Source organism: Homo sapiens, chromosome 12, assembly GCF_000001405.40.
Source record: "Homo sapiens chromosome 12, GRCh38.p14 Primary Assembly".
Taxonomy (NCBI): Eukaryota; Metazoa; Chordata; class Mammalia; order Primates; family Hominidae; genus Homo; species Homo sapiens.
This window is the reverse complement of record NC_000012.12, coordinates 64,188,779-64,202,393: the sequence shown is the minus strand read 5'-3', so window position 1 is coordinate 64,202,393 and position 13,615 is coordinate 64,188,779. Positions and strand designations below refer to the sequence as shown.

Below are 13,615 nucleotides of genomic sequence, written 5' to 3'. Positions count from 1 at the left end.
GGGTCTCACTCTGTGAAGCACAGTAGTGCGATCACAGCCCACTAGCCTCAGCCTTGCTGGGCTCAGGTGATCTTCCCACCTCAGCCTTCTAATTTGAGTAGCTGGGGCCACAGGTGCACACCACCACACTTGACTAATTTTTGAATGTTTTGTAGAGATGGAGTTTTTCCATGTTGCCCAGGCTGTCTCATGAACTCCTGGGCTCAAGCAGTCCACCTGCCTCTGCCTCCCAAAGTGCTGGGTTTACAGGAATAAGCCACTGTGCCCAGCGTCAAAAACTTTTATACATTTTGTCTAGAACAAGTGGAAGTAAAATTGCACTACTGTCTTGTACTCCTTGTAGTATAATTGCATTTTCAGTTATTTACTGAGTATCTGGAGAAAGTGAGAAGAATAGGAATGTGGCTCAAACTGGGAAGGGACTACATTATTCAGTGCCTTCTAGTCCTTTTTACGGATTTGGGGTTTTATCCTAAGATAAATGGAAAGTGATTGAAGTGTTAGCTATTTCTTATTGGGTCACCATTTGTTTGTTTGTTTGTTTGTTTGAGACAGTCTTGTTCTGTCACCCAGGCTGGAGTTTAGTGGCACGATCTCAGCTCGCTGCAACCTTGCCCCCCCACCCCAGGTTCAAGCAATTCTCGTGCCTCAGCCTCCAGAGTAGCTGGGATTACAGGCACATGTCACCATGCCCGGCTAATTTTTGTATTTTTAGTAAGGTTGGGATTTCACCATGTTGGCCAGGCTGGCCACCATTTTGTTTTTTTTTTTTTTCTTTTTTTTTTTTTATTATACTTTAAGTTTTAGGGTACATGTGCACATTGTGCAGGTTAGTTACATATGTATACATGTGCCATGCTGGTGCGCTGCACCCACTAACTTGTCATCTAGCATTAGGTATATCTCCCAATGCTATCCCTCCCCCCTCCCCCCACCCCACAACAGTCCCCAGAGTGTGATATTCCCCTTCCTGTGTCCATGTGATCTCATTGTTCAATTCCCACCTATGAGTGAGAATATGCGGTGTTTGGTTTTTTGTTCTTGCGATAGTTTACTGAGAATGATGATTTCCAATTTCATCCATGTCCCTACAAAGGACATGAACTCATCATTTTTTATGGCTGCATAGTATTCCATGGTGTATATGTGCCACATTTTCTTAATCCAGTCTATCATTGTTGGACATTCGGGTTGGTTCCAAGTCTTTGCTATTGTGAATAATGCCGCAATAAACATACGTGTGCATATGTCTTTATAGCAGCATGATTTATAGTCATTTGGGTATATACCCAGTAATGGGATGGCTGGGTCAAATGGTATTTCTAGTTCTAGATCCCTGAGGAATCGCCACACTGACTTCCACAATGGATGAACTAGTTTACAGTCCCACCAACAGTGTAAAAGTGTTCCTATTTCTCCACATCCTCTCCAGCACCTGTTGTTTCCTGACTTTTTAATGATTGCCATTCTAACTGGTGTGAGATGGTATCTCATTGTGGTTTTGATTTGCATTTCTCTGATGGCCAGTGATGATGAGCATTTTTTCATGTGTTTCTTGGCTGCATAAATGTCTTCTTTTGAGAAGTGTCTGTTCATGTCCTTCGCCAACTTTTTGATGGGGTTGTTTGTTTTTTTCTTGTAAATTTGTTTGAGTTCATTGTAGATTCTGGATATTAGCCCTTTGTCAGATGAGTAGGTTGTGAAAATTTTCTCCCATTTTGTAGGTTGCCTGTTCACTCTGATGGTAGTTTCTTTTGCTGTGCAGAAGCTCTTTAGTTTAATTAGATCCCATTTGTCAATTTTGGCTTTTGTTGCCATTGCTTTTGGTGTTTTGGACATGAAGTCCTTGCCCATGCCTATGTCCTGAATGGTCATGCCTAGGTTTTCTTCTAGGGTTTTTATGGTTTTAGGTCTAACGTTTAAATCTTTAATCCATCTTGAATTGATTTTTGTATAAGGTGTAAGGAAGGGATCCAGTTTCAGCTTCCTACATATGGCTAGCCAGTTTTCCCAGCACCATTTATTAAATAGGGAATCCTTTCCCCATTGCTTGTTTTTCTCAGGTTTGTCAAAGATCAGATAGTTGTAGGTATGCGGCATTATTTCTGAGGGCTCTGTTCTGTTCCATTGATCTATATCTCTGTTTTGGTACCAGTACCATGCTGTTTTGGTTACTGTAGCCTTGTAGTATAGTTTGAAGTCAGGTAGCGTGATGCCTCCAGCTTTGTTCTTTTGGCTTAGGATTGACTTGGTGATGCGGGCTCTTTTTTGGTTCCATATGAACTTGAAAGTAGTTTTTTCCAATTCTGTGAAGAAAGTCATTGGTAGCTTGATGGGGATGGCATTGAATCTGTAAATTACCTTGGGCAGTATGGCCATTTTCATGATATTGATTCTTCCTACCCATGAGCATGGAATGTTCTTCCATTTGTTTGTATCCTCTTTTATTTCCTTGAGCAGTGGTTTGTAGTTCTCCTTGAAGAGGTCCTTCACATCCCTTGTAAGTTGGATTCCTAGGTATTTTATTCTCTTTGAAGCAATTGTGAATGGGAGTTGACTCATGATTTGGCTCTCTGTTTGTCTGTTGTTGGTGTATAAGAATGCTTGTGATTTTTGTACATTGATTTTGTATCCTGAGACTTTGCTGAAGTTGCTTATCAGCTTAAGGAGATTTTGGGCTGAGACAATGGGGTTTTCTAGATATAGAATCATGTCATCTGCAAACAGGGACAATTTGACTTCCTCTTTTCCTAATTGGATACCCTTTATTTCCTTCTCTTGCCTAATTTCCCTGGCCAGAACTTCCAACACTATGTTGAATAGGAGTGGTGAGAGAGGGCATCCCTGTCTTGTGCCAGTTTTCAAAGGGAATGCTTCCAGTTTTTGCCCATTCAGTATGATATTGGCTGTGGGTTTGTCATAGATAGCTCTTATTATTTTGAAATACGTCCCATCAATACCTAATTTATTGAGAGTTTTTAGCATGAAGGGTTGTTGAATTTTGTCAAAGGCTTTTTCTGCATCTATTGAGATAATCATGTGGTTTTTGTCTTTGCCTCTGTTTATATGCTGGATTACATTTATTGATTTGCGTATATTGAACCAGCCTTGCATCCCAGGGATGAAGCCCACTTGATCATGGTGGATAAGCTTTTTGATGTGCTGCTGGATTCGGTTTGCCAGTATTTTATTGAGGATTTTTGCATCAATGTTCATCAAGGATATTGGTCTAAAATTCTCTTTTTTGGTTGTGTCTCTGCCCAGCTTTGGTATGAGAATGATGCTGGCCTCATAAAATGAGTTAGGGAGGATTCCCTCTTTTTCTATTGATTGGAATAGTTTCAGAAGGAATGGTACCAGTTCCTCCTTGTACCTCTGGTAGAATTCAGCTGTGAATCCATCTGGTCCTGGACTCTTTTTGGTTGGTAAACTATCGATTATTGCCACAATTTCAGCTCCTGTTATTGGTCTATTAAGAGATTCAACTTCTTCCTGGTTTAGTCTTGGGAGAGTGTATGTGTGGAGGAATTTATCCATTTCGTCTAGATTTTCTAGTTTATTTGCGTAGAGGTGTTTGTAGTATTCTCTGATGGTAGTTTGTATTTCTGTGGGATCAGTGGTGATATCCCCTTTATCATTTTTTATTGTGTCTATTTGATTCTTCTCTCTTTTTTTCTTTATTAGTCTTGCTAGTGGTCTATCAATTTTGTTGATCCTTTCAAAAAACCAGCTCCTGGATTCATTGATTTTTTGAAGGGTTTTTTGTGTCTCTATTTCCTTCAGTTCTGCTCTGATTTTAGTTATTTCTTGCCTTCTGCTAGCTTTTGAATGTGTTTGCTCTTGCTTTTCTAGTTCTTTTAATTGTGATGTTAGGGTGTCAATTTTGGATCTTTCCTGCTTTCTCTTGTGGGCATTTAGTGCTATAAATTTCCCTCTACACACTGCTTTGAATGCGTCCCAGAGATTCTGGTATGTTGTGTCTTTGTTCTCGTTGGTTTCAAAGAACATCTTTATTTCTGCCTTCATTTCGTTATGTACCCAGTAGTCATTCAGGAGCAGGTTGTTCAGTTTCCATGTAGTTGAGCGGCTTTGAGTGAGATTCTTAATCCTGAGTTCTAGTTTGATTGCACTGTGGTCTGAGAGATAGTTTGTTATAATTTCTGTTCTTTTACATTTGCTGAGGAGAGCTTTACTTCCAACTATGTGGTCAATTTTGGAATAGGTGTGGTGTGGTGCTGAAAAAAATGTATATTCTGTTGATTTGGGTTGGAGAGTTCTGTAGATGTCTATTAGGTCTGCTTGGTGCAGAGCTGAGTTCAATTCCTGGGTATCCTTGTTGACTTTCTGTCTCGTTGATCTGTCTAATGTTGACAGTGGGGTGTTAAAGTCTCCCATTATTAATGCGTGGGAGTCTAAGTCTCTTCGTAGGTCACTCAGGACTTGCTTTATGAATCTGGGTGCTCCTGTATTGGGTGCATATATATTTAGGATAGTTAGCTCTTCTTGTTGAATTGATCCCTTTACCATTATGTAATGGCCTTCTTTGTCTCTTTTGATCTTTGTTGGTTTAAAGTCTGTTTTATCAGAGACTAGGATTGCAACCTCTGCCTTTTTTTGTTTTCCATTTGCTTGGTAGATCTTCCTCCATCCTTTTATTTTGAGCCTATGTGTGTCTCTGCACATGAGATGGGTTTCCTGAATACAGCACACTGATGGGTCTTGACTCTTTATCCAATTTGCCAGTCTGTGTCTTTTCATTGGAGCATTTAGTCCATTTACATTTAAAGTTAATATTGTTATGTGTGCATTTGATCCTGTCATTATGATGTTAGCTGGTGATATTGCTCGTTAGTTGATGCAGTTTCTTCCTAGTCTCGATGGTCTTTACATTTTGGCATGATTTTGCAGCGGCTGGTACTGGTTGTTCCTTTCCATGTTTAGTGCTTCCTTCAGGAGCTCTTTTAGGGCAGGCCTGGTGGTGACAAAATCTCTCAGCATTTGCTTGTCTGTAAAGTATTTTATTTCTCCTTCACTTATGAAGCTTAGTTTGGCTGGATATGAAATTCTGGGTTGAAAATTCTTTTCTTTAAGAATGTTGAATATTGGCCCCCACTCTCTTCTGGCTTGTAGGGTTTCTGATGAGAGATCCGCTGTTAGTCTGATGGGCTTCCCTTTGAGGGTAACCCGACCTTTCTCTCTGGCTGCCCTTAACATTTTTTCCTTCATTTCAACTTTGGTGAATCTGACAATTATGTGTCTTGGAGTTGCTCTTCTCGAGGAGTATCTTTGTGGCGTTCTCTGTATTTTCTGAATCTGAACGTTGGCCTGCCTTGCTAGATTGGGGAAGTTCTCCTGGATAATATCCTGCAGAGTGTTTTCCAACTTGGTTCCATTCTCCCCATCACTTTCAGGTACACCAATCAGACGTAGATTTGGTCTTTTCACATAGTCCCATATTTCTTGGAGGCTTTGCTGATTTCTTTTTATTCGTTTTTCTCTAAACTTCCCTTCTCGCTTCATTTCATTCATTTCATCTTCCATCGCTGATACCCTTTCTTCCAGTTGATTGCATCGGCTCCTGAGGCTTCTGCATTCTTCACGTAGTTCTCGAGCCTTGGTTTTCAGCTCCATCAGCTCCTTTAAGCACTTCTCTGTATTGGTTATTCTAGTTATACATTCTTCTAAATTTTTTTCAAAGTTTTCAACTTCTTTGCCTTTGGTTTGAATGTCCTCCCGTAGCTCAGAGTAATTTGATCGTCTGAAGCCTTCTTCTCTCAGCTCGTCAAAGTCATTCTCCATCCAGCTTTGTTCCATTGCTGGTGAGGAACTGTGTTCCTTTGGAGGAGGAGAGACGCTCTGCGTTTTAGAGTTTCCAGTTTTTCTGTTCTGTTTTTTCCCCATCGTTGTGGTTTTATCTACTTTTGGTCTTTGATGATGGTGATGTACAGATGGGTTTTCGGTGTGGATGTCCTTTCTGTTTGTTAGTTTTCCTTCTAACAGACAGGACCCTCAGCTGCAGGTCTGTTGGAATACCCTGCCGTGTGAGGTGTCAGTCTGCCCCTGCTGGGGGGTGCCTCCCAGTTAGGCTGCTCGGGGGTCAGGGGTCAGGAACCCACTTGAGGAGGCAGTCTGCCGGTTCTCAGATCTCCAGCTGCGTGCTGGGAGAGCCACTGCTCTCTTCAAAGCTGTCAGACAGGGACATTTAAGTCTGCAGAGGTTACTGCTGTCTTTTTGTGTGTCTGTGCCCTGCCCCCAGAGGTGGAGCCTACAGAGGCAGGCAGGCCTCCTTGAGCTGTGGTGGGCTCCACCCAGTTGGAGCTGCCCGCTGCTTTGTTTACCTAATCAAGCCTGGGCAATGGCGGGCGCCCCTCCCCCAGCCTCGCTGCCGCCTTGCAGTTTGATCTCAGACTGCTGTGCTAGCAATCAGCGAGATTCCGTGGGCATAGGACCCTCCAAGCCAGGTGTGGGATATAATCTCGTGGTGCGCCGTTTTTTAAGTCAGTCAGAAAAGCGCAGTATTCGGGTGGGAGTGACCCGATTTTCCAGGTGCGTCCGTCACCCCTTTCTTTGACTCGGAAAGGGAACTCCCTGACCCCTTGCGCTTCCCAGGTGAGGCAATGCCTCGCCCTGCTTCGGCTCGCGCACGGTGCGTGCACCCACTGGCCTGCGCCCACTGTCTGGCACTCCCTAGTGAGATGAACCCGGTACCTCAGATGGAAATGCAGAAATCACCCGTCTTCTGCGTTGCTCATGCTGGGAGCTGTAGACCGGAGCTGTTCCTATTCGGCCATCTTGGCTCCTCCCTCCCCACACCATTTTGTTTTTAACTATAATTAATATGAAGGGAATTTGGGAACCAGGATTGAATAAGGGCTGTCTGATAAATGCTCTATTTCTTTAATAAACATTTATTTTATCTACTGTGTTTTCCATATAAGCTTATAGTAGGTACTGTCATCTGCAAGATAGGCTTAATACCTCATAGCATTACTGTGAACATTAAATGAGTTTATATGTGTCATCTACACATTCAACAGATGTTTTAGTGACTTTTTTTGTTTTACCTCTGCCTCTTTAGGACCACACTCTGAAAAGAGCATGCCTTGTTTCAATGATTGTTTTAGTCATACAATTGCCAGAATAAATAAAATACACTCAGAAAGAATTATACCTAATTTAGGCCAGGCATGGTGGCCCACACCTGTAATCCCAGCGCTTTGGAAGGCCAAGGTGGGAAGATCACTTAGAGTTTGAAACCAGCCTGGGCAACATAGGGAGACCTTGTCTCTACAGAAAATGGAGTGTGTGCCTATGTTCTCAGCTGCTTGGGATGCTAAGGCAAGAGGCTCACTTGAGCCCAGGAACTGAGCTGCAGTGAGCCATGATTGTACAATTGCACTCCAGCCTGGGTGACAGAGCAAGAACCAGTCTAAAATAAATAAATAAAAAAAAAAAAATGAATTGTAGCTAATTTGGTATTCCTGTTGTTGAAAGGAAAAGTGGCCACTACTCTCAGGCTATTTCCACAGGAGAATATGATGTTGACATAATTTTGAAATGGTGAAATTATATCAGAATTTTAAAATAAATCAACATGTAGTTCCTCCATCTTTTCTTCCCCTGTCCTGAAGCATAATATTATGTTTGGCCATTTTGTTGCTTTGTGGTTAGAAAAATGTCAGTGTGGCAAGTGAAGTAACATTTCCACTTATCTCTATTTCCCTCTCCCCTTTAGATTTCACCACCCAATCCTCAGTCCTTTGGAAAGCAGTTTCCAGCTGGAAGTTGACGTCCTGTGTCATCTCCTGAAAGCCCAGGCCCAGGTCTCAGAGTGGAAGTTCCTCCCATCTCTGGTTAATTTACACAGTGCGCACACCAAACTGCAGACGTGGGGCCAGATCTTTGAGAAACAGCGGGAGACCAAGAAACATCTGTTTGGAGGGCAGTCTCAGAAGGCCGTGCAGCCTCCACACCTTTTCCTTTGGCTGATGAAACTCAAAAACATGCTTCTTGCCAAGTTTAGCTTTTACTTTCATGAGGCTCTGAGCCGACAAACGACTGCTTCAGAAATGAAAACGTTGACAGCAAAAGCTAACCCAGACTTTTTTGGAAAGATTTCCAGCTTCATCAGAAAATATGATGCTGCCAATGTGTCCTTAATTTTTGACAACAGAGGTTCTGAGAGTTTTCAGGGTCATGGTTATCACCACCCCCATTCCTACAGAGAGGCCCCCAAGGGTGTGGACCAGTATCCAGCTGTAGTGTCTCTGCCCAGCGACAGGCCAGTCATGCACTGGCCCAATGTCATCATGATCATGACGGACCGCACATCTGATCTGAACAGCTTGGAGAAAGTGGTCCACTTCTATGATGACAAAGTTCAGAGTACCTACTTCCTAACCCGCCCGGAACCTCACTTTACCATTGTCATCATTTTTGAGTCAAAGAAATCTGAGAGAGACTCCCACTTTATTTCCTTCCTCAATGAGGTCTCACTTGCCCTTAAGAACCCCAAAGTGTTTGCAAGTCTGAAACCTGGAGCCAAAGGTTAGCAGGTGATTTGCGTGGAGGGGTTTCAAGACTAGAAACTGTTCTTAATTGCCCTAATGATCTACGGTGGTCTGTGAATAGAGTTTACATCCATTCATGCCTCTTTCAGAACTAAATTAAAGACAAATCCTCCCTGTGTTGCACACTTTATAAGCAATTAAGGCCAATTGAATTAAGTTTCCAAAGAGTAATCTAGGAAGTGGTCATGGGCTACCATGTGTCTCCATGGTACAGCAAAGTAGTTTCAGTATTTTCCCCTATTTTGCTATATTTCTTGTAGATTGAATATTTATTGGGCTTTTTTTTTTCCCATATGTTTTTCTGTTGTTCTAAACATTGTGTTCTACTGCAATTCCAAACAGCCTCTCTGTTTCCCTCCTTCTTGGAAGAGTAATAGGGATGAGATATTAAATGGCCTTTTTAGAATTAAGAACTATATGTTTTCTGTCTCATAAATTAGCAAATGAATATGGAGTTAGTAGATTTATGATTCTGATCTACAAATTAACATTTTTGATGCCAAAATTAGGGTCTTGGTAAGAAATTTCTATCAGTTATTGAAACTGAAAGTGAGTCAGATTGGTAGCATGACGTAAGGTTTTAACAGTTCAGAAGATCCTCATGGCAGCTTTAATAGCCATGGGTTCTTTTGGGGTAATGTACACACCTAACTGCATTTGTTTTGACTTCTTTAATGTTTGAATGTTTCACTCTGTTGTAAAGTCAGCATAAGCCATCATGTGGGCTTTCTTCATTCTTCAGCATATTATCCGCTTCGCTTTCTGTTTATCACTTTTCTGCTGAAATGTACATGTTTGGCTCTACTCCTTGGTTATTTTTAGGCTTAAAAGCATGCAGTCGGTTTTTCAGCCACTTTTAGATACTCATGCAACATAGCCTACTTTTATAAAATCAAAATGAAGGTCTTCATACGCTGTACTTGCTAAAAATCAACTGTGCGCTTGAAAGACCTCTTCATAGTTGAGTAATCACCTCAGTACTTAAGCACTTCTGAACTTGGGTTTCATGCCTGCCCCCCACAAATTATGTTTAGAAGCAGCACTGCATCTTAGCACATGCTGCCTTATTTCTTTCCTTCGGCAGGTGTTCATGGGAAGTAGGTGGATCAGTGAAGGCATAATGGGCTGTGGAGACCTTCACTTCTAGATTATTGATTCAAAATAAAAAGAAGCCACAAAGAGTAATTGAGTTGTTACTGGTTTGATGGTTCCTTTGAAGCTTGTGTGAAATGTAATGGTCATATTCGTCTTTTTTCCCATGATTGTGTGGAGCCACTGTTTTACTGGGTGTCCACAGCAGGTATGCCAGCAACATCAGCAGAGACCAGAGAGCCCCTCAGAGTCCATGTAGGAAGCCTGCCCACCTAGGGTGGACTGCCTGGCAGAAGAAAGAAGAACCGGCCAGGCACGGTGGCACACGCCTGTAATCCCAGTACTTTGGGAGGCTGAGACGCGTGGATCACTTGAGGTCAGGAGTTCGAGATCAGCGTGGCCAACATGGTGAAACCCCATCTCTACTAAAAATACAAAAGTTGGCCGGTTGTAGTGACGGGTGACTGTAATCCCAGTTACTCTGGAGGCTGAGGCAGGAGAATTGCTTGAACCTGGGAGGTGGAGGATGCAGTGAGCTGAGACTGTGCAGCTGCACTCCAGCCTGGGTGAAAGAGCGAGACCTGTCTCAAAAAAAAAAAAAGAAGAAGAAGAACCAAGAATCTACTGGCCTATTTTTTATTTTCTGGGAAGAACATGTGTTTTTCCTTTTTTTTTTTTTTTTTTTTTGAGACAGGGTCTTGTCTGTTTTCCAGGCTGGAGTACAGTGGCACAATCACAACTCACTGCAGCCTCAACCTCCTGGGCTCAAGTGATCCTCCCACATCAGCATCCCGAGTAGGTGGGATTACAGGCATGAGCCATCACACCTGGGTCTCACTATGTTGCTCGGGCTGGACTCAAACTCCTGGACTCACATGAGCCTCCCGCCTCGGCCTCCCAAAGCACTGGGTTTATAAGCATGTGCCACTGCACCTGGCCTCCTTTCTTTTTCTTTAAAAATGGTCATAAGCTTTGTAAAAAGCTAGTTTGCTTTAAATAGAAAGTAGTGATTTACCTCTGCATTTTATTCACTCAGGTTCTATAAAAAAAGTCTCAGCAGATTTTACAACATTGACCTTACCTAAGAAATTGAAAGCAATTGGAGCTAAAAAGTCAAATCACTTTTCCTCTCTATTGTGTTCTGCCAAGAAACTGAAAAATATTCCTTGGTATGCATGTATTTTTTTCCTCTTAGATTAAACCACCATTAGCCTTAATGACACAGTCCCCCAAATACCTAGAAGAATATATACTTCAGTGGAACCCCGAGAGAGGTGTAAGTAAAGCATATATATGTTATTTAAATAACCAGTCCTCACCTAGAACATATTTGAATTGTATATCTATTTTTAAACATAAACACAAAAAGAATTTCAAAGAACAGAAGGCAGATGTGAATATTAAGAAAATCTAAGACAATATGTATTACTGTGCAGCTGTCATAGACTGTACTGGAAGAGTTTTTGAAGATTGAATATTGATACTTAAATTATTTCTGAAGCTCTTCAATAAAGTTTTCTAATTATAAAAACTCCACATAATTTGGTTCAAGCCAAGAAACAAAGTCATTTTACTCTAAGATTTATTCTCTAAATATAGTAATGAGATCTGTAAAGTCTGTGTTTTGCTAATTAAAAGAGTAAATCTGCGTATTTTCTGCAGACTGCTTTCTTTGAATCTGTTTCTAAACCACAACTTGATAAGTTTTTATGGGTAACTGGGAATATGGTCAACACTGAGTTTTCCAAGGGTTCCATCCAGGAGTATTTCATTTTAGGATGCTGTTTGGACACAGGGTTTGTAACTTTGTTCTCTCTGGGTCCTACCTGATCTCTGGCTGTGTCATTTCAGGGAGTGTGTGAAAATAAAGCCCAGTTCTTAACCAAGGAGCCAATACCCTTGATATAATTGCTTTGGATATTTGGACATATTGGGAGAAATGTGTCCAAATACTTTTCTTTTCTTTCTTTCTTTCTTTTTTTTTTTGAAAAGGCAAGGTCTGTCGCCCAGGCTGGAGTACAGTGGCATGATCATAGCTCTCTGCAGCTTTGAACTCCTAGGCTCAACAGTCCTCTTGCCTCAGCCTCCCGAGTAGCTAGGACCATGCCTGGCTAATTTTAAAAAAATATTTTAGAGATAGGGTCGCACTATGTTGCTCAGGCTGGTCTCGAAATCCTGGGCTCAAGTGATCCTCCCTCTTTAGCTTCCCAAGTGGGAATACAGGTGTGAGCCACTGTGTCCAGCAGAAAATGTACTTTCTAGAAAGAAAATAATTGGTACTTCACTACTTTCCCAGGGAATTCCTTCAGGTGAATGTCCACCCTTTTGATCTAGAAGCAGACTCACAATTTTGTTTGTTTGGCAAATCAGCCTCTGAGCTCAACTTCCTTGTCTGTAAAATGGGGCTAAGGAAATGTGGGTTGCTTTTTCAAAGGTTACTGTTAGGATGGAATGAGATCATGTGTGTAACAAAGGCTTTGGAAACTTTCTGGAATTTGAAGGCTATATAAATAAAAGATGGACCACTCTTTCCTTAAATTTGGCACCTTTCCTGTTCTTTTCTTTCTCTTCAATTCTGTGGCAAACCTGTACCTAGTTATTATGTTTGAAAGAGAACTGGTTTAGAAGAGGAGGCAGATAAATGCCTAACCAACCTACCCACTCTTCCTATTTTAGAATCTTTGTGGTTTTTTGTTCCCAAATTTTTATGGTTGGTTGATAGCATCATTTTAGTTCTCCTATATTATGATTTCTTTTTTTTTCCTTTGGTTACTCTATCAATTACTGAGCGAGGTATTTTAAAATCTCCAGCACTGCTTGTGGATTTGTGATTTTCTTCCTTTATTTCTGTCAGTTTTTCCATCCTGTATTTTGGAGCCCTGTCATTAGGCCCATATACATTTATAGTTTTTATTTCTCTTGTATTCACCATTTTATCATTATGAAGTTTCCTGCTTTATCTCCACTGCTACTGCTTACTCCAAAGTCCATTTTGCCCAGTGTTTTTATGGCCCTTCCAGCTTTCTTATGCTTACTGTCTGTGGTGTGTGTGTGTGTGTGTTTTCCATGTTCTCATTTTTAACTTACTTATTTATATCTTTGTATTTGAAGTGTCTATAGACAGAACTAAGGAGATAAGACAGATTAAAAAGAACAACAATCTCTGCCTTTTGATGGGAATGTTTAGTTTACTTCTCGTGTAAGGTTTTTACAGTCAGGATTTTGATGACAGTATCCTTGAACTATCACTTGTTTTTCATCCTTTTTTCCCCCTTTATATTGGAAGTTAGAGCAAGATGTTTAATCAGATTCAGCTTTTCTTTGTGTAGTGGTGTTGTATATTTTATTAGGAAGCAGCTAACAACTGGCATTGCCTAGATAGATTATATCATTAGAGGTTACAAAATGGTAATATTCTAATTGTTATTCCTTTTCTCATTATTAGCCAGAATACATCTACAAAGAGAAATTCACCTCCAACTATTTAGTACCTTGAAGTACAGTTCATATGGAATGGATGGATAAATCCTTGATTCTTTTGCTTTTCTTTATTTTATTTATTTATTTATTTTTTGGGATGGAGTTTTGCTCGCTCTTGTTGCCCAGGCTGGAGTGCAATGGCACGATCTCGGCTCACCACAACCTCCGCCTCCAGGGTTCAAGTGATTCTCCTGCCTCAGCCTCCTGAGTAGCTGGGACTACAGGCACGTGCCACCATGCCCAGCTAATTTTTGTATTTTTAGTAGAGTTGGGGTTTCACTATGTTGGCCAGGATGGTCTCCATCTCTTGACCTCATGATCTGCTTGCCTCAGCCTCCCAAAGTGCTGGGATTACAGGCATGAGTCACCGTGCCTGGCCTTTATTTATTTATTTTTACTAGTTCTTAACATATTTAGTTCCTTAGCATCTTCCAGACAATGGGGAGTTTTAAAAGAAATGTATATGAATTTAT

The 13,615-nt window shown here is 41.2% G+C and overlaps 1 protein-coding gene across 3 annotated transcripts in view, besides 2 other annotated features; it reads left to right on the top strand.

The window, feature by feature from the left end:
- The window catches only part of KICS2 (KICSTOR subunit 2), a 35,981-nt gene that overhangs the window by 19,903 nt on the left and 2,463 nt on the right, over positions 1-13,615 (top strand). For 2 of the 3 annotated variants that reach the window (NM_001300941.2, NM_152440.5), the window contains exon 3: positions 7,736-11,314. In NM_001300941.2, coding sequence (NP_001287870.2) covers positions 7,736-8,552 — 817 coding nt within the window. In that variant the 3' untranslated portion in view covers positions 8,553-11,314. Of the gene's footprint in view, positions 1-7,735; positions 11,315-13,615 lie in introns of those variants that run through there. The other variant, NM_001300940.2, reaches the window with a different exon arrangement.
- Positions 5,970-6,565: an enhancer, noted in NCBI's record as "NANOG-H3K27ac-H3K4me1 hESC enhancer chr12:64589609-64590204 (GRCh37/hg19 assembly coordinates)". NCBI's record gives its function as "activates a minimal SCP1, AML or CMV promoter by ChIP-STARR-seq in naive H9 embryonic stem cells {active_cell/tissue: H9 hESC(naive)}" and the evidence as "EXISTENCE:reporter gene assay evidence [ECO:0000049][PMID:30033119]".
- Positions 7,845-8,264: an enhancer, noted in NCBI's record as "active region_6586". NCBI's record gives its function as "activates an Ori minimal core promoter by ATAC-STARR-seq in GM12878 lymphoblastoid cells {active_cell/tissue: GM12878}" and the evidence as "EXISTENCE:reporter gene assay evidence [ECO:0000049][PMID:35858748]".